The 18,716-nt window shown below is 43.0% G+C and overlaps 1 protein-coding gene and 1 pseudogene across 7 annotated transcripts in view, besides 1 other annotated feature; one reads left to right on the top strand and one right to left on the bottom strand.

The window, feature by feature from the left end:
* Positions 1 to 18,074, bottom strand: part of CFAP52 (cilia and flagella associated protein 52) — a 68,913-nt gene extending 50,839 nt beyond the window's left edge. For 2 of the 7 annotated variants that reach the window (XM_047435437.1, NM_145054.5), the window contains exons 1-4: positions 17,951 to 18,074; positions 8,744 to 8,943; positions 7,882 to 8,018; positions 395 to 523 (exon numbers count right to left, since the gene is read on the bottom strand). In XM_047435437.1, coding sequence (XP_047291393.1) covers positions 395 to 523; positions 7,882 to 8,018; positions 8,744 to 8,943; positions 17,951 to 18,020 — 536 coding nt within the window. In that variant the 5' untranslated portion in view covers positions 18,021 to 18,074. The remainder of the gene's footprint in view (positions 1 to 394; positions 524 to 7,881; positions 8,019 to 8,743; positions 8,944 to 17,950) is intronic. The other 5 variants (XM_047435439.1, XM_017024227.2, XM_047435438.1 and 2 more) reach the window with 3 other exon arrangements.
* On the top strand, positions 4,201 to 4,896 carry RPL19P18 (ribosomal protein L19 pseudogene 18; annotated as a pseudogene).
* Positions 17,812 to 17,941: an enhancer, noted in NCBI's record as "active region_11727". NCBI's record gives its function as "activates an Ori minimal core promoter by ATAC-STARR-seq in GM12878 lymphoblastoid cells {active_cell/tissue: GM12878}" and the evidence as "EXISTENCE:reporter gene assay evidence [ECO:0000049][PMID:35858748]".

Genomic DNA, 18,716 nt, shown 5'->3' with positions numbered 1-18,716 from the left:
CTTCCTGGCAGAATTCATTTGCAAACTATCAGATCATGAGACCCCAATCAAGAGCAGGTGGGAAGAAACATCAGTCAGTAGGTGAATCTGTGCAATTGTGCAAATTGTTTCTGTGAGCATGGATTGGAGATAATTCTGTCACAAACAAGAACCTGAGAACAGTTAAGCAGGTAAGCAAAATCTTTTCAGCAGCAATCACAGAATTTTAAAATAACTATAGTGAAAATACTTCCAGTGAAGAGAACTTTTAATGAGTACAAAATCACAAAAACTATGATGTAAGGTATTTATCCAGGACTAAAGACGTGTTCCCCCAGATCAGAATGACCATGTTTTCTGTGCAAGAAAATATAGCAATTTATGAGTTCTGAAAACTCCGAACGCAGACACATACTTTCCAGCAGTCATAAACATCTCATCCCGGCACCTGGAGAAGATCACATTGGTGGCATTGCCAACATTGAGGCCGGCTGCAGGGCTGCCACAGATGGCATCTCTCTTGGCTATGCTCCACACCACCACACTGCCAAAATAAGAGGGACCAAAAAAAAAAAGTCAAAGAGAAAACAGGCTTTTAAAATAAGAAACAACCATCTTAGTGGTTCTAGAAAGAAAAAAACACAACAGGTTACTTAAAAACGAACAACAAAATTACCCCACCCCTGACATCTCCTCAACTACACTAGGTATTAGAAGACACAACGGTGACACATTAAAAGTTTTTTGTTGTTGTTGTTATTGTTTCTTTTTGAGATGGAGTTTCACTCTTGTTGCCCAGGCTGGAGTGCAATGGCGCCATCTCTGCTCATTGCAACCTCCGCCTCCTGGATTCAAGCGATTCTCCTGCCTCGGCCTCCTGAGTAGCTGGGACTACAGACGCACACCACCATGTCCGGGTAATTCTTGTATTTTTAGTAGAGACAGGGTTTCACCGTGTTGGCCAGGATGGTTTCGAATGTTGGCTGGGAGCGATGGCTCACATCTGTAATCCCAGCACTTTGGGAGGCCGAGGCGGGTGGATCACCTGAGGTCAGGAGTTTGAGACCAACCTGGCCAACATGGTGAAAACCCATCTTTACTGAAAATAAAAAAATTAGCTGGATGTGGTGGCACACACCTGTAGTCCCAGCTACTCAGGAGGCTGAGGCAGGAGAATCGCTTGAATCCGGGAGGTGGAGGTCGCAGTGAGCCAAGATTGCACCATTGCACTCCAGCCTGGGCAAGAGAGCGAGACTGCGTCTCGAAAACAAAAAACAAAAACAAAAACACAAACAAAAGAATTATTAAAACAGAGACTGCTAGGCCACAGCACCGCAGTTTCTGATTCAGTACGTGGGATCTGAGAATTTGCTTTTCTTGTAAGTTCCAGGTGATGTGTGTGCTGCTGGTCTGGGAACCACATTGTGAGAATTGCAGCTATAGGGTTACACTTCCTTCTTCTGGGTGCAATCATACAACTTTATCCTACACTGAATAGGGTGTGGATCATAATACAAAAAAATGCTGGGGAGGGGGCGTTATGTTAAATGTTCGAATCAAGGTGTTTAAAGAAAAAGAATGAAAATGTTACAAATCTTGTTCATGTAAAAACATACCTAACTATATTTCCCAACTTTTCTACATATGGAATGTATTATCACATTGGTCTGAAATCAAGGTATAACCAAGATCACCAGGAATAGGGAGGTAGGAAGTCATATAATAGCCATAAATTCTCCCTTTTCCACAGTGGGACATTAACAGATACCATCAAAAGTGGAAAAATTGGGAGGTAAACTACTTAAAAAGTTTAAATGATAACTAGATGATGAACCAAAAATCAAAGACTATTCAAAAGAAGTGCCTCGTATCCAAGAGAAATGAAGACATGTCCACACAAAATCTTGTACACGAATGTTCATAGCGCCATTATTAATAATAATTTAGAAGTGGAAATGACTCAAAGTTCATCAGCTGATGCATAGATGAAGATAAAGTAGGCTGTCTACACAATGGAATACTATTTGATGATAAAAAATGAAATACTGTGCATGCCACAAATGGATAAACTTTGAAAACATTACGCTAAGTGAAAGAAGCCAGTCACAAAAGACCACATATTGTATGATTCTACTTATGAGAAATGTTTTAGAATAGGCAAAGCTAGAGACAGATGGTCGATTAGTGGTTGCCTGGGGCTTGGAGGAGGAGGGATGGAGAGTGATTGCTAATGGGTACGGGGTTTCTTTTTATTTTTTAATTTTTTTGAGACGGAGTTTTGCTCTTGTTGCCTAGGCTGGAGTGCAATGGGGCAATCTTGGCTCACTGCAACCTCTGCCTCCTGGGTTCAAGCGATTCTCCTGCCTCAGCCTCCCTAGTAGCTGGGGTTACAGGGGCCCACCACCACCACGCCCAGCTAATTTTTTTTGCATTTTTAGTAGAGACAGGGTTTCACTATGTTGGCCGGGCTGTTCTCGAACTCCTGACCTCAGGCGATCCACCCGCCTCAGCCTCCCAAATTGCTGGGAATACAGGCGTGAGCCACCGTGCCTGGCTGGGTATGGGGTTTCTTTTTGGGGTGTTGAAAACATTCTAAAATTGTGGATGATGATTGCAAACCTTGTGAACACATTAAAAACCACTCAACTGTACACCTTAACACGGGTCAATTTTATGATATGTGAAATGTATTTCAATTAAAAAAATCCAAGTGCCTCTGGGTAGTAGAATCTTCAAGGTGAGGGGGATATAAGAGTCATGCTTTTGAATTTTGGATCCTTTTGCATAGTAGGACAGCACAGTTTCTTTATAAGCCATGGCCGGAAATAGCTTTAATTTTTCAAAAACAATTTTTTTTTTGAGACAAGGTCTCTCTCTGTTGCCCCAGCTGGAGTGCAGTGGCACGATCACCACTCACTGCAGCCTCAAACTCCTGGGCTCAAGCAATCCTCCCACTTCAGCCTCCCAAGTAGCTGGACTACAGGCACACACCACCGTGCCTGGCTCATTTTTCAGTTTTTGTGGAAACAGGGGTCTCCCTATGTTGCCCAGGCTAGTCTTGAACTTCTAGGCTCAAGTGATCCTTTCCGCCTTGGCCTCCCAAAGTGCTTGGATTACAGGTGTAAGCCACTGCACCCCGCACAAACACAAATTTGTTTTAAAAATAGATAAAACAAAGGGCAACAACATAGAGATCTGGCCAAATAGATTCCAGCACATCTGTACAATGGAATACTATGCTATTATGGCAAAGAATGAGATCTATATCTACGTGTGTGGACATAGATGTCCTTCATATAAAGTTAGTCAAAAAGCAGGTTGCATTACAACATGAATACCATGATGACATCAATGGAAAAAGTTTCATAAATAGGTTACAAAATTTAAAAGATACATGCAGGCCGGGAGCGGCGACTCAAGCCTATAATCTCAGCACTTTGGGAGGCCGAGGAGGGTGGATCACCTGAGGTTGGGAGTTCGAGACCAGCCTGACCAACATGAAGAGACCCCCGTCTCTACTAAAAATGCAAAATTAGCCAGGCATGGTGGTGCATGCCTGTAATCCCAGCTGTTTGGGAGGCTGAGGCAGGAGAATCGCTTGAACCTGGGAGGCAGAGGTTGTGGTGAGCTGAGATCATGCCGTTGCACTCCAGCCTGGGAAACAAGAGTGAAACTCCATCTCAAAAAAAAAAAAAAAAAAAAAAAAGATGCATGCAAACTATAGGATGTCCACTATAATTGGCAGCTTCCCTTTTGTTTCTTTTCCTCTGTGTAGAAGCTAGATGGGTTGGGTAGAATAAACCCCTGCCACACATTCAGGGTTGACCCCTGACTCTCCAAACCAATCAGCAGAACTCCACCCTTCTCACCACAGAGACTATCCAGGGATGGGCATATTGCATTTTTTTAGTACAGCAAGGTTTGTTTTCCTTTCTTTCTTTTGGTTTTCAACATTCTTGAATGTTCTGCAAACAAATTTTAGGCAGCTTAAAATTACAGCAGAGATTAACAGTTTTGCCAGATTAACCTTGGTTAAGGGGCCATTTTCCCCGCAAGACCTAGTCTCTTTGACAGGGGGTGGGATTGGGGTGGCCTAATGGCCTAGCTCCAAGAATCTCCGGGGGTGGGACCCAGGCGTCAGTGTTTTTTAAATCTTCCTAGGTAATATCAGTGTGCTCCAAAGGTTGAGAATAACTGCTTTAAGTTGAACGAAGGATGTTGGAACTCTTTTCTTTCGCTGCAGTGGCCAAAGCCATGAGAATGTTTGGGCTTCAGAAGGGGCTTGCCTCTAGTGCCCTCTGCCGTGGCAAAAAGAAGGTCTGGTTGGACCCCAATGAGACCAGTGAAATTGCCAAGGCCACCTCCCACCAGCAGATCTGGAAGCTGATCAAAGATGGGCTAATTATCCATAAGCCTGTGACTGTCCATTCCCTGGCTGGATGATGGGAAAACACCTTGGCCCGCCAGAAGGGCAGGCACATGGGCATAGGTAAGCCAAAGGGTGTAGCCCTTTGCCAGAGAAAGTAACCTGGATGAGGAGAATGAGGATTCTGCGCCACCTGCTCTGAAGATACCATGGATCGAAGAAGATTGATCACCACACGTATCACAGCTTGTACCTGAAGGTGGAGGGGAATGTATTCAAAAAACAACTGGATTCTCACGGAACATATCCATGAGCTGACGGCAGACAAAGCCTGTGAAAAGCTCCCAGCTGAACAGGCTCAGGCCCACAGATCCAAGACCAAGGAAACACACAAGCACTGTGAAGAGCACCTCCGGGCCAAGAAGGAGAAGATCAAGACTTGCCCAAGGAGGAAGAAACTAAGAAATAGAAGCTCCCCATTTCTTGTCTGTAGATAGCACTCTTGGTGATTACATAGATCAGTCATTAAAATAAAACAAGGCTTTTTCTGCTTGCAAAAAAAAAAAAAAGTTGAGCTAAGAATGTTAACAGGGGATTTCTGGATACATTTCTTTTCTTTTTTTTTTTTTTTTTTTTTTGAGACGGAGTCTCGCTCTTGTCCCCAGGCTGGAGTGCAATGGCACAACCTTGGCTCACTGCAACCTCCGCCTCCCAGGTTCAAGCAATTCTCCTGCCTCAGCCTCCTGAGTAGATGGGATTACAGGCGCCTGCCACCATGCCCGGCTAATTTTTGTATTTTTAGTAGAGATGGGGTCTCGCCATGTTGGCTAGGCTGGTCTCAAACTCCTAACTTCAGGTAATCCACCTGCCTCGGCCTCCCAAAGTGCTGGGATTTCAGGCGTGAGCTGCCACACCCGGCCAATACATTTATTATCAGAAACAGTCAAGTGGTAATGAGCCAGGGAAGGGGTGACCACTTGTGAATGACAAGAAAAAGAGGAAATCTCATGAAAATTTTGTTGACTTGCTATATAGTAAGAGAAGAACTATCGTTATATAACTATACACAAATATAAATTTCCTTTGTAATAAACCTATGAAGCTTAAATAAGAAAATATACATAGAAGTGTACTGAAGTATTAAATCCCACACAAACCTCAGGTGTTACTATTTTTCTTCTACAGATTGTGATCCTTTGACATTTACATAGGAATGTCTTGCATTGATTGTTCTTCCTAATATATTTTGTTTGTTTATTTATTTATTTTCAGCTGGAGTCTTGCTCTGTTACCTAGGCTGGAGTGCAGTGGTGCAATCTTCGCTCACTGCAACCTCTGCCTCCCAGGTTCAAGTGATTCTCCTGCCTCAGCCTCCCAAGTAGCTGGGATTACAGGCCCCGGCACTATGCCTGGCTAATTTTTGTGTTTTTAGTAGAGACAGCGTTTCACTAGGTTGGCCAGGTTGGTCTCAAACTCCTGACCTCAGGTGATCTGCCTGCTTGAACCTGGGAGGCGGAGATTGCAGTGAGCCGAGATTGTGCCATTACTCCAGCCTGGGCAACAAGAGTGAAACTCCATCTCAAAAAAAAAAAAAAATTCTTTTCTGTGGCTAAAAAATATTCTATTGGGTATGGAAGGAGCATACCTCAACATGATAAAGACCCTATATGACAAACCCACAGCAAATTATCACACTGAATGGGGTGAAATTGAAAGCCTTTCCACTAAGACCTGAAACAAGATATGGATGCTGTCAGATCCCAGGGTCCAGGTCCAGCCCATGCTGAAGTCCGAGGTGAGTGGGTAGATGAGCAGAAAGAACACTCGGGGGCTGTAGGCAGGTGGAAGATGATTTTATTCAGCAGCAGCTCTCATCAACAGCTTTCTCACACTGTCTGCCCTGCCTCCGCTGCTTGAGCTGGCATCTCCCACATACAGCTGCGCAGCCAGCTCTACCCTGCCTTCAGGGTCAGCAACTTAACTCTTTGTCTCTCTGGGCACGAGCGGGCTGAGCTGTGTCCTGGCTCCCCCTTGTCCATCTGCAAAGATGGACAGCTCTGGCTCTCTCTCTTTCTCTGGGCGCCAGGGCACCTGCACAGTGTCCACAGGGCAATTATCCCTTTAACAGACAATAGTGGTGTAGAGCCAAGTGATGGCCTTTCCCATGCTATGGCAACATGGCTGTGTTAACAGTGGAATTATACGCCTGCACTCTAAACTTGCTGAGTCACGCAGGATGTAAACATCCTACCTTGGCCTATCCTTGACCAAAGCACAGCCATGTTCCTCACAGATGCTCACTCTGGCCACTTGTGTTCAACACAGTACTGGGAAGCTTGTATAACTCTTAGAGCTCAGGCCAATCAAATCGGACTCTTGGAAGGTACACCCAGGCACCAGTGATTCCCTAAAGCTGCCCAGGTGATTTCAACATGCAGCCAACTTTGAAAACCACTTTTATGGTATTTTTCTCAGAGGCTTTTCAGACAATGCATACTGAAATACAGACGGGCCAAGAGAGAACATTAGAGGGGACAGGGCCCTTGTCACTTCTGGAAATACGCCTTGCAGAAAATAAGCAAATATTGCAAACTTGGCATCTGAAAAAGTATCTTGCATCTATACAGAACTTAAATAAATTTATAAGATAAAACAAAAACTCCATTAAAAAGCAGGCAAAGGACATGAACACTTTGCAAAAGAAGACATACATGCAGCCAACAAGCATATGAAAAAAGGCTCAATATCACTGGTCATTAGAGAAATGCAAAGTAAAACCACAATGAGATAACCACCTCATATCAGTCAGAACAACTATTATTAAAAAGTCAAAAAATAACAGATGCTGGTGAGGTTGCAAAGAAAAGGGAATGCTTAGGTACTGTTGGTGGGAGAGTAGATTAGTTGAACCATTGTGGAAAGCAGGGTGGTGATTCCTCAAACAGCTAAAAACAGAACTGTCATTCAACCCAGCAATCCCATTACTGGCTACATACTCAAAGGAATATAAATTGTTCTACCATAAAGACACATATGATTGTATGTGCATCACAGCACTATTCACAATAGCAAAGACATGGAATCAACCCAAATGCTCATCAATGGTAGACTGGATAAAGAAAATGTGGTACATATACATCATGGACTACTACGCAGCCATAAAAAAGAATGAGATCATGAGAATTACAGAAACATGGATGGAGCTGGAGGCCATTATCCTTAGCAACCTAATGCAGGAGTAGAAAACCAAATACCACAGGTTCTTACTTATAAGTGGGAGCTAAATGATGAGAACACATGAACACATAGAAGGGAACACAGACACTGGGGCCTGTTGAGGGTGGAGGGTGGGAGAGGGAGAGGATCAGAAAAAATAACTACTGGGTACTAGGCTGAGCACCTGGTTGATGAAATAATCTGTACAACAAACCCGTGACATAAGTTTACCTATATAACAAACCTGCACATGTACGTCTGAACCTGAAATAAAAGTTAAAAAAAATAAAGAAAATAAGTAACTATGTTTAGTTCATTACCTTCCGTCATCTGGGCCTCCTAGTGATACCAAGTACAAATCATTTGGAGAAAAGGCCAGAGCTTCAATTTTGCCTTTGTGAAGGGACAGCCGAGCAAGCAGCTCTCTGTTCTTATAATCCCACAAAATGATGTCTGCCTGGGGGCAAGAACACACCGTCAGATCATAGGGAGGCATTAAAAGCATCTGAGGAGATAGCTACCCTTCTTGGTGAAAAACAATTAGTACTGTCACTTTTCTTTTTTCTTTCTTTTTTTTTTTTTTTTTGTTGAGACGGAGTCTCACTCTTTTTTGCCCAGGCTGGAGTGCAATGGCGAGATCTCTGCTCACTGCAACATCCACCTCCTGGGTTCAAGCACTTCTCCCTGTCTCAGCCTCCCGAGTAGCTGGGATTACAGGCATGCACCAGCACGCCCTGCTAATTTTGTATTTTTAGTAGAGATGGGGTTTCACCATGTTGGCTAGGCTGGTCTCGAACTCCTGACCTCAGGGGATCCGACCGTCTAGGCCTCCCAAAGTGCTGGGATTACAGGCATGAGCCACCGCGCCCAGCCCGCTCTATCACTTTTCTAGAAATCGGATCAGGTTCTACAAACATGACAGCAACACAATGGAAACAGCTTTAAGCGGGAACTTTTGTTTGTGAGCATTATCAGTCACAAGCTGCAACCTCGGGTATAAAATCATCAGAGTCCTTCACTCCCGGTCTGACGGAATGAAAATGGGTTAAAAGAGAAGTCAAAAAGAAGAAGAAGGAAGAATAAAGCACATTGCCACATAGAACTAACAACTTGAAGTGGGGCAGTTCTTCTAGGGAGGCACCTCTAGATAAATTGACAATGAGTCGTTTTCACTGTATTCACCTTGAACCCCATGAATGTGACTTGTCCGGAGGCGATGTACTCTCCAGACCTGGAGATGGCCAAGCAGGAGACGTTGTTGCCATGACCCTGTAGGAAGTTCTGCTCTTTAGTATTTATTGCCTGAATGAGGACTGTGCAACCAAGAGGATAAATCATATGCTCCTGGTCAGGATGGCATTTGAGACCAGTGGGCACATGTCCTAAAAGAGAGAGATTCACAGTAATAATAATCAGGTGCAGAAGTGGCCAGGAATTTTCTACTTGAGTACAAAACACAACACTTTGTGTGTGTGTGTGTGTGTGACAGAGTCTTGCACTTGTCACCCAGCCTGGGGTGCAATGGTGCAGTCTTGGGCTCACTGCAACCTTCACCTCCTGGGTTCAAGTGATTCTCCTGCTTCAGCCTCCCGAGTAGCTGGGATTACAGGCACCCGCCACCACACCTGGCTAATTTTTTTTTGTATTTTTAGTAGAGACGGGGTTTCACCATGTTGGTCAGGCTGGTCTTGAACTGCTGACCTCGTGATCCGTCCACCTTAGCCTCCCAAAGTGCTGGGATTACAGGTGTGAGCCACCGCGCCCGGCCAACACTTTAAAAATAAGCCTTAGTTCAGCTAAAAGAAGTTGGGGAAATAGGTAATTTTATTTCACTGACAAAAACGTTCATCTAGTAATCACATCTTAAACTTTGATGTTTATAAAAATCCCTGAGGGATCCTGTTAAAATGCAGATTCTGATTTCAGGTCTGAGAAGGGGTTGAGATTCTGTATTTCTCATAAGCTCCTAAGTGATGCTGATGCTGGTCCAGCAAGTCCTACGGCCAATTCTCGTAATCCTAAAAAGCACGAATGCATGGAGTGTGAGCAGCCTGCTTGGGTGAGTGCACAGGCATAGGGAGAATGGGAGTCAACTACCTCAGGCAAAGGTTGGGTAAATATAAAAATTTGGCCTATTTTACTTCACAAAGCATAATATTCTCCAGGTTAATCCATGTCTTTACAAATGGCATGATTTCCTTCTTTTTAAAGGCTAAGTAATATTACATTGTGTGGCCAGGCACGGTTGCTCACCCTTGTAATCCCAGCACTTGGGAGGCCGAGGCAGGCGGATCACCTGAGGTCAGGAGTTCAAGACCAGCCTGGCCAACATGGTGAAACCCGGTCTCTACTAAAAATACAAAAAATTAGCTGGGCTTGGTGGTGGGCACCTGTAATCCCAGCTACTCGGGAGGCTGAGGCAGGAGAATCACTGGAACCCACGAGGCGGAGGTTGCAGTGAGCCGAGATCACACTATTGCACTCCAGCCTGGTTGACAAGAGCAAAATTCCATCTCAAAAAATGAACAAATAAATTAAAAAAAAAATACTGCATTAATCTGCTAAAAGAGTTGATCTTAAGTGTTTTCATCACACACAAAAAGTAACTATGTGAAGTGAATATGTTAATTAGTTTGATCGTAGACATCATTTCACAATGTATATGTCTATCAACACATTGTGTTATACACTTTAAATTGATACAACCTTAATATGTCAAGTATGCCTCAATATAACCAGGAAAATAATTTTTTTAACTTTCGGTTTCAGTTCTGAGTGCCCACCAGGTGCTCTGAAGAGCCTGGGACCTTTCATGGTGACACCTCTTTCCACAGGCAACTCCCGTACTCCAAATATCTGCCAAGGTAACACTACTGCTTCCATGTTAGAGAAAAGTTTGTATGCTTGAATGTAATTATTGTTTTGCTTGAGTTGGTAGTTTATTCACTAAAAACAGTTTCAGGAGAACAGGACCTTCAGCAAAAATAAAAGAAAATACAATGACCAACAACTCTGGGAATGGGCTGACCAGCCTGGTAAGAACAGGGCAGATGGCATCTGCAGAAGGCCCCAACATATTGACTAACTGCCTACCTGAGACTGCACATGTTTCACAAAAATGCTTTGATCATTATTCCTCTAATTTCCCTGATTCAGAGACTCAACTCGGTGAGGTGGTCTTTGAACGCTAGTTTATTGTCTCCCCTGGGTTGCTGGCTTCTCCAATAAAGCTAACCTTCCTTTCACCAAAGCTCATCTCTTGAGTTTTTAGCTTTCAAGTGACAAGTGGCCCAAACTTGATTTTGGTTATACCAAGAACCATCTCAACAATTATAAACCCTTGTAATATGTTTTAATATGAAACAGACCCAGGTCCTCCATTATTGCTCACCTATGGTCAGAATTTTTTTGATTGCTCTTCGTGTTTATTTTACAATACAAACTTGCATGTCACCTTGGCTATTTAAAATTCATGATTGTGTTTTTAGTGAGATAGTATTAAATGTATAGATTAACTTAAGGGAAAATGATTTTTATAATAATATAAAATACCTCTATTTTAAAAACAGGATATGTTTCTTCATAAGTCTCCTTTTATGCCTTCTAGTAGCATTTTCCATTTTTTTCATAAAGATCTCACTCATTTCTTATTACATTTATTCTTGGGTTTTTAAAAAACTTTTTTGTTGCTATCTCCTTCTCCATCGAAAGACTCATAAATATTTATTAATATAATCTTCTTGTTCTTAAATGAATGCTTCTTTTATATTTAACTCCCTCTGGAATTTATTTTGGTGCTTTATGTGATTCCTGTAGCTAAATGGATTATTTTTGCTCAAATGGCCAAATGTAATTATTGAATAAATGATTTTTTTTCATTTTAATTGAGTGTTCCTTTTTTATGCAGTATGTTCTTATAATACCAAGGTTTATGTCTTTAGGGTGATCTATTCCTACTAAAAATTTTTTATAGTTTTCTAATTGCAGGTTCTTTATAAACAATCATATGGCTATCCATATGGAAAAATTAAACTTAGATTCATAATTCACACCTTACACAAACAATATCTTCCAGGTAGATCAAAGACCTAAATGTGAAAAACAAGACAGTGTGTACAAAAGTAAGAAATGACTTTCCAACTATGACACAAAAAGAGCAAATCATAAAAGAAAAGGCTGAAATATTTACCCAGTTATGTGAAAAATGAAAAACATCTAGGCTGGGCTGGGTGGCTCATGCCTGTAATCCCAGCACTTTGGGAGGCCGAGGCAGGCAGATCACTCGAGGCTGGGAGTTTGAGACCAGCCTAGCCAATATGGCGAAACCCTGTCTCTACTAAAAATACAAAAATTAGCTGGGCGTAGTGGTGGACACCTATAATCCCAGCTACTTGAGAGGCTGAGGCAGGAGAATCGCTTAAACCTGGGAGGTGGATGTTGCAGTGAGCTGAGATTGTGCCACTGCACTCCAGCCTGGGTGACAGAGTGAGACTCTTTCTCAAAAAATCAAAAAATTTAATTACTAAAGACATTGTTATTGGAAGGATGAAGAGAAAAACACAAACAAGAAGATATTTTCAATGTATACAATAGACAAAGGATCATCTCCATAATATACGAAGAACTCCTACAAGGCAATAAGGAAAACATATGCTTCTCAATAGAAAAATGAGCAAAGGATATGGATAGCCAGTTTATGCTGAAGGAAATTCAAAACCCAATAAACCTACAAAAAGAGATGCAACCTCATAAGTAACCAGGAAAATGTAAATTATGTCCGAAATGAGATACCATGTCATATCCACCAAAATGGCTAAAATTAAGATGGCTGACAGTACCAGGCATCTGTGTTGATGTGGAACAAAGCCAACACTCATAAAATGCTTGGTGGGAGAGTAAATCGGTCTAATCGTTTTGGAAAACAATGTGTCTTTATTGATGATGCTTGAATGCGCACATGCCCCAGGACCCAGCTACTCTATTCTTAGGTGTGCAACCTGCCCAGAGATAACCTTGTAACATGCAGGTGTGTATTTCTTCAGATTTATTTTTGTTTTTGCATTTAAAAATTATGGTTCTTGGTTGCAAACTAGAAGAGTCAACTCTGGCTAAATGTAGCAGAAAAAGAATTATATGGAAGGAATACATATTGCTCACACAACTGGCAGGAAGTTTGGGTCACACTTGAAAAATGGGCAGAACTAATAGCAAGGCGAGACCAAGTGACACGAACTAAAGACCTCTCATGGCCACACTGCTCAACGCTCAATGCTCCTTTGCATCACTCCTATAAGAGTGGAACTGCGGAGTGGGAATGTCTGATTGGCTGAGCCAATTATGTTACATCTCTCAATTGGCTGCCAAGGAATTAGGAGAGAAAATATGTGCCTCTTTTAGGCTCTCACTAAAGCAATAGAACCAGCTCCTACCTATCTTGGGATACTTCTCAAATAGAATAGTATTCAGATATGAGTAACCAAAACTACGCATGTCCACTACAATTCATATTCTTTGCTCTCTTCTCCAGACATACTCACACACACTCCATTTTCTCTCTCTCTCGCCTTCTTTCCCTCCCTCTCTGTCTCCCTCTGTCCCTCCCTCCCTCTCCTCTCTCTCTATCCCCTCTCTCTCTCTCAAACATATGTACACTTTAAACTGTAATAGGCTCATATCATATACACTGTATGGCAAATTGCATTTTATACTTAATATATCTTTGACATCTTTCCTCATTAGTTTATATACATCTATTCCATTTTTCTTAAGGATTGTACAGTATCAAATTGCACAAAAGGAATATAATTTTAAAAATTATTGGAGTGAAATTCACATAACATAAAATTAACTGTTTTAACGTGAACAATTCAGTGGCATTTAGTGCATTCACAATGCTGTGCAACCAGCACTTCCGGGTTCACGCCATTCTCCTGCCTCAGCCTCCCGAGTAGCTGGGACTACAGGTGCCCGCCACCGCGCCCGGCTAATTTTTTGGTATTTTTAGTAGAGACGGGGTTTCACCGTGTTAGCCAGGATGGTTTCCATCTCCTGACCTCGTGATCCACCCGCCTGGGCCTTCCAAAGTGCTGGGATTACAGGCGTGAGCCACCACGCCTGGCCACGTAGTTTTTTAAAACTTCTTACCAATGGATATTTGGGTTGTTTCTTCCAATGTTTCAGCTATTATAGACAATATCACAGTGAACTTCATTGCACGTAAATTTTTTGAAAACTTGAATAAGTGATTCAAGTTCTTAAAAGCTCAAAGATTATCTTCATTAAGAATTGTAATAGATACTATAAAACTGGCCTTCAACAAGGTTGTAAAATTAATACCGGCAGTAGTAATTGAGAACCATTTCTTATTCTCACCTTATTATATTACCCTTTTTTTTTCTTTTTTTGCCTTTGCCAGTTTGAGAAGCAAAAACCATCACTGCTTTAACAGCATTTTTTTTTTTTTTTTGAGACCAGGTCTCACTCTGTTGCCCAGGCAGGAGTGCAGTGGTACAGTGATGGCTCACTGCAGCCTCTACCTCCCGGGCTCAGGTGATCCTCCCACCTCAGCCTCTCGAATAGCTGGGACTACAGGCATGCATCGCCATGCCTGGCTATTTTTTGGTATTTTTTATAGAGATAGGGTTTCACCATGTTGCCCAGGCTGGTCTCAAACTCCTGGCCTCAAGGAATCTTCCTGCCTCAACCTCCCAAAGTGCTGGGATTACAGGTGTGAGCCACCGCACATGAACTTTAATAGCATTTTTAAGCTTTTTGAGCTAATAGCCATTTATATTTATTTACCTATTTACAGGGTCTGGCTTTTTTTTTTTTTTTTTAAGAAAGGTCCAGAGAGTAAATATTTTAGGCTTTGTGGGCAATATGGTCTCTTGAGACTACTCATCTCTGCTAGTGTGGTATAAAAGCAGCCATAGACAATACATAAACAAATGGGCATAGCTACATTCCAATAAAACTTTATTTACAAAAACAGGCAGTGGGCCAGATTTGGCCCATGGGCTATAGTTTGTAGACTCCTGATCTATTTTGTTGTTGTTGCTGTTTTTAGTTTACAAGAACTCTTTGTATACCATAATAGGAAAATCATGGGCTACCTACTCCAGTCAATGGATGAATGTGACCAAACCCTTAATAACTATAACTTTATTAAATGTTTTTAACACAAGTATATTTGGTTTGCTTAAATAATTAATTCCTGCCAAAATGCAATACCTACAAGTGTCAAGTACAGTTACATATTGATACCATAAAGTTAAAATTCAAGTTTAAGGCCAGTCGCAGTGGCTCACGCCTGTAATCCCAGCACTTTGGGAGGCCGAGGCGGGTGGATCACCTGAGGTCAGGAGTTCAAGACCAGCCTGGCCAACGTGGCGAAACACCGTGTCTATTAAAAATACAAAAATTAGCCAGGCGTGGTGGTGGATACCTGTAATCCCAGCTACTTGGGAGGCTGAGGCAGGAGAATCACTTGAACCCATGAGGCAGAGGTTGCAGTGAGCTGAGATCGCACCACTGCACTCCAGCCTGGGAGACAGGGTGAGACTCCATCTCAAAAACAAAATTCAAGTTGAATAATGTAACACTATAGTGAGTTTCAGTGTTGCAGTGAAAAAAGGGGCCTTGCTTTTGTTTCTAATTTGTTTCCATCTGAAATCTAAACTCAATCACTTGGCATTTAAGGCCTCTGAAATCTAATTCCAGCTTCTCTTTCCTGTGTTATCCTGCCAGTCCCTGATACTGAAGCCACCCCAAGCTATTTGCCGTTCTGCAACCAGGCCCTGCACTCTCCACTTTTCCTCCTCTGCCCCCCGCTATTGCTGTAACCCGAAATATTCTGCCTTCAATCTTTACCCGCTGACTCCTAGTCAAAATCTTCTCTCCCGAGCCTTATGAAAGTTCTGTCTTTTCTCTCTCTCCCTCTTTTTTTTAGAGCTAGTATAGTTTTTTAAAATAAACATTTTTCAGTGAAGACAAAATACAGAAAACTCAATCACTTTTGTAAACTAAAAATAAAATCATAAGCTCCCCAATCCCCACGCTGCCCCACCCCAGCCACTGACTGAACAGATCCCCTTTTGGACAAAGGGACCCCCAAAACACCTTAAAGCAGAGTTCCCAGCCTTGACGGAATGGGAGGTCAGACATGCCTCATTATACCCCCTCTCTTTTGTGGTTTAGACACAACTGATCAGCATTAATGTTAAAATAGAGATCATAAGATTGACAGACTGTGTGGCAATAAGATATCAAATTATAAACAGGACCTAAGGCCATGCACCCCTCCACCCTGTGGCTGGGTGTGGTGGCTCAAGCCTGTAATCCCAGCACTTTGGGAGGCCAAGGCGGGTGGATCACCTGAGGTCAGGAATTGGAGACTAGTCTGGCCAACTTGGTGAAACCCCGTCTCTACTAAGAATACAAAAATTAGCCAGGCGTGGTGGTGGGTGCTTATAATCCCAGCTACTCTGGAGGCTGAGGCAGGAGAATAGCTTGAATCCAGGAGGTGGAGGTTGCAGTGAGCCGAGATTGTGCCATTACACAACAGAGCGAGACTCCACCGTCTCAAAATAAATAAATAAAATAAACTATACACTGCCACAAGGTTTTTCTTTTTCTCTGGCAGCTAAACAAGCACTTATCTTGAGATAAGCAATATGAAAACAACTGCAACCTGTCCAGTTCATAGGCACTTACTAACTGAAGCCCTGTTCAACCCGCCATAAGAACAATTTTGATTGGACAACAGAGTGATTTCAGTAATGTTCTCCTGGCAAGAAGACCACTCACCACGGACTACCTCTGGCCAGTTTACTGAGGCTTCCCACTTAACGTGCCGTCATGTCCTGAAAAGGCCTTTTGACATATAGGACCTAATTGTAATACATTTAAATGTTAGGTCTCCATCCCAAGGTGAATATGAGTGATATATTACATCAATGTTTGTTCAATACACATGTGTTGGGACCACCTTCATGAGTATTCATAGCTCCTCCTATAACCTGTTGAATATGTATGTTTGTTTGTTTATTTATTTATTTATTTTTTGAGACGGAGTCTCGCTCTGTCCCCCAGGCTGGAGTGCAGTGGCGTGACCTTGGCTCACTGCAACCTCTGCCTCCCAAGTTCAAGTGATTCTCCTCCCTCAGCCTCTCAAGTAGCTGGGATTACAGGCACCTACCACCACGCCCGGATAATTTTTGTATTTTTAGTATAGATGGGATTTCACCATGTTGGACAGGATGGTCTCGAACTCCTGACCTCAGGTGATCTACCTGCCTTGGCCTCCCAAAGCGCTGGGATTACAGGCATGAGCCACTGCCCCCGGCCTCAGTTGCAGAGTTCTATGTGTGTGGTTCTACATTGGCTCAACAAGTGACATTATGCAACCCACTGTAGGCTGCTCAATTGTTTCTCAATGATCTTGTAACCAACTCTCAAGATATCTGATATCCGAAATGTATAAAGCACTCACTTTCTATTGGAGACTGTTAAAGTTAAACCAAGAGTCAAGAGCTAAGTCCTAGAGTATGCTTAAAACTTTAGACAGTGATTGTTCTGCATCCACATTCTTAAAGCTTTCAGGCATCACAACACACATTTTTGAAAAGTTTTGCTTCTCCTAAAATCTAATTCATTGTTTTCTCATCCCTCAAAAAACCAAAACCCCTCAAAACGAACAATAAAACCCCACAGCTTTTTCTTCCCAGAATCTTCAAAACAATAGGCAGTCACAAATAAGATTTCAGCGGAGCGGCCCAGTCCCTTTTTCTCTCCGCTTTAGCTCCCCCTGGCGTCCCCTTCCCCTTCTGTCCTGGTCTGAAATCCTCATCATTTAGAAACCTTCCTTAGGATTAGAGGACCAACAACATCCCCTCAGGGGGTTGCTCAAACACACGTTCCCTCCCAGCCCTTTCTCACTGGTACGCCAGTTGGGATTTTAGCAGATTTCCTAGCTGGTCCCAGGGGCCGACACAGACAGCATCCTTCTGTGTGGTTACGAAGGAGCCTAGGGCTTTGCGAGCGGCGTGGGGTTCAGAGCCAGGAAGGGCTGACCTAGTGGGAGAAGGGTTACAACCACCCGTACTCATCCGGCCCGCCTGGGGAAGAGGCATTTGGTCCCTTTTAGGTGCTGGCGCTTGTCCGAGCTGGTAAAAACCATCTCACTCCCTGAGGCTTGGATCGAGGAAGTGACTCTCCAAGGCCTTGGGGCAGGTCAGGCTGTGCGGGTCCTCCTGTGCGTGTCCCTGGCCAGGGCTCCTGCCGTTGTCCCACACTGCCTTTCAGGTGTCCCCGGTGTCTCACTATTCCTGTTTGCACTACACGTCCTCCGAATTCCTAAACCAGCCAGCCCAAAGATGCTGGAGGCCTCACCATTGAAGCCGATCACGGCGTCAAGTTCCAGCTCCGCCACTTGGGCCTCCGGCGAAATTTTGTTATCCATCCTTGGGAGGTTCTGATTACTTTGCTCTCCTCCCTAGTGGCTGCAGCGTCTTCTGGTCGTTATGGTAACGGACGAGCGCATGCGCTCCAGCTCCACGCCCGCGCAGAAACCCAGCCTGCCGAGTTCGAGTTCATTAGCATTCTTGGAAATGAAGGGGTATGGGGACTGGAAGAGAGATGGGGTGGGACTCCTCTTCTTTTTTTTTGTGCTATTTCTCTGGAAATTTAGGGGATGGCACTAACTGCGCAGAACTAATTCCTCCATCCCCTTGTGTAGAGTCTGTGACTTCTTAGTAACTCTAAAATCAAGCACCGAATGAATGGCATTTAAAAAATATGTAATCAGGCGTACAGGACTGATAGGAAGGCTGCTATAAAAAATATATATAATTGATACTTCTTTGGGCCCCTGTTTGGAGCAGTGTGAAAAAAATTTTAAAGATTTTTTAAAAAGCGTTGAGGTATAATTTACATATCATAAAGTTAACTTAAAGTAGGTTGTAGTGAGTTTACGCAGCGTGCAAGTCTCACCGCAATCTAGTGTTTTGTTTATTGTTTTGTTTTTGAAGCAGGATAAATTTTTAAGTAACTGCTACAGAGAGGTCTTGCAGCGCTCCCACCTTCCTGGGAAAATGCTTTGTTTCTATTTAACAATTTTAACTGAGCTTAGCAGTTCGCGTCTCTTGGTGGGAGTAGA

The sequence above is a fragment of the Homo sapiens genome, chromosome 17 (genome assembly GCF_000001405.40).
Source record: "Homo sapiens chromosome 17, GRCh38.p14 Primary Assembly".
NCBI lineage: Eukaryota > Metazoa > Chordata > Mammalia > Primates > Hominidae > Homo > Homo sapiens.
The sequence above is the reverse complement of the archived record's forward strand: the minus strand, read 5'-3'. Positions and strand labels throughout refer to the sequence as shown.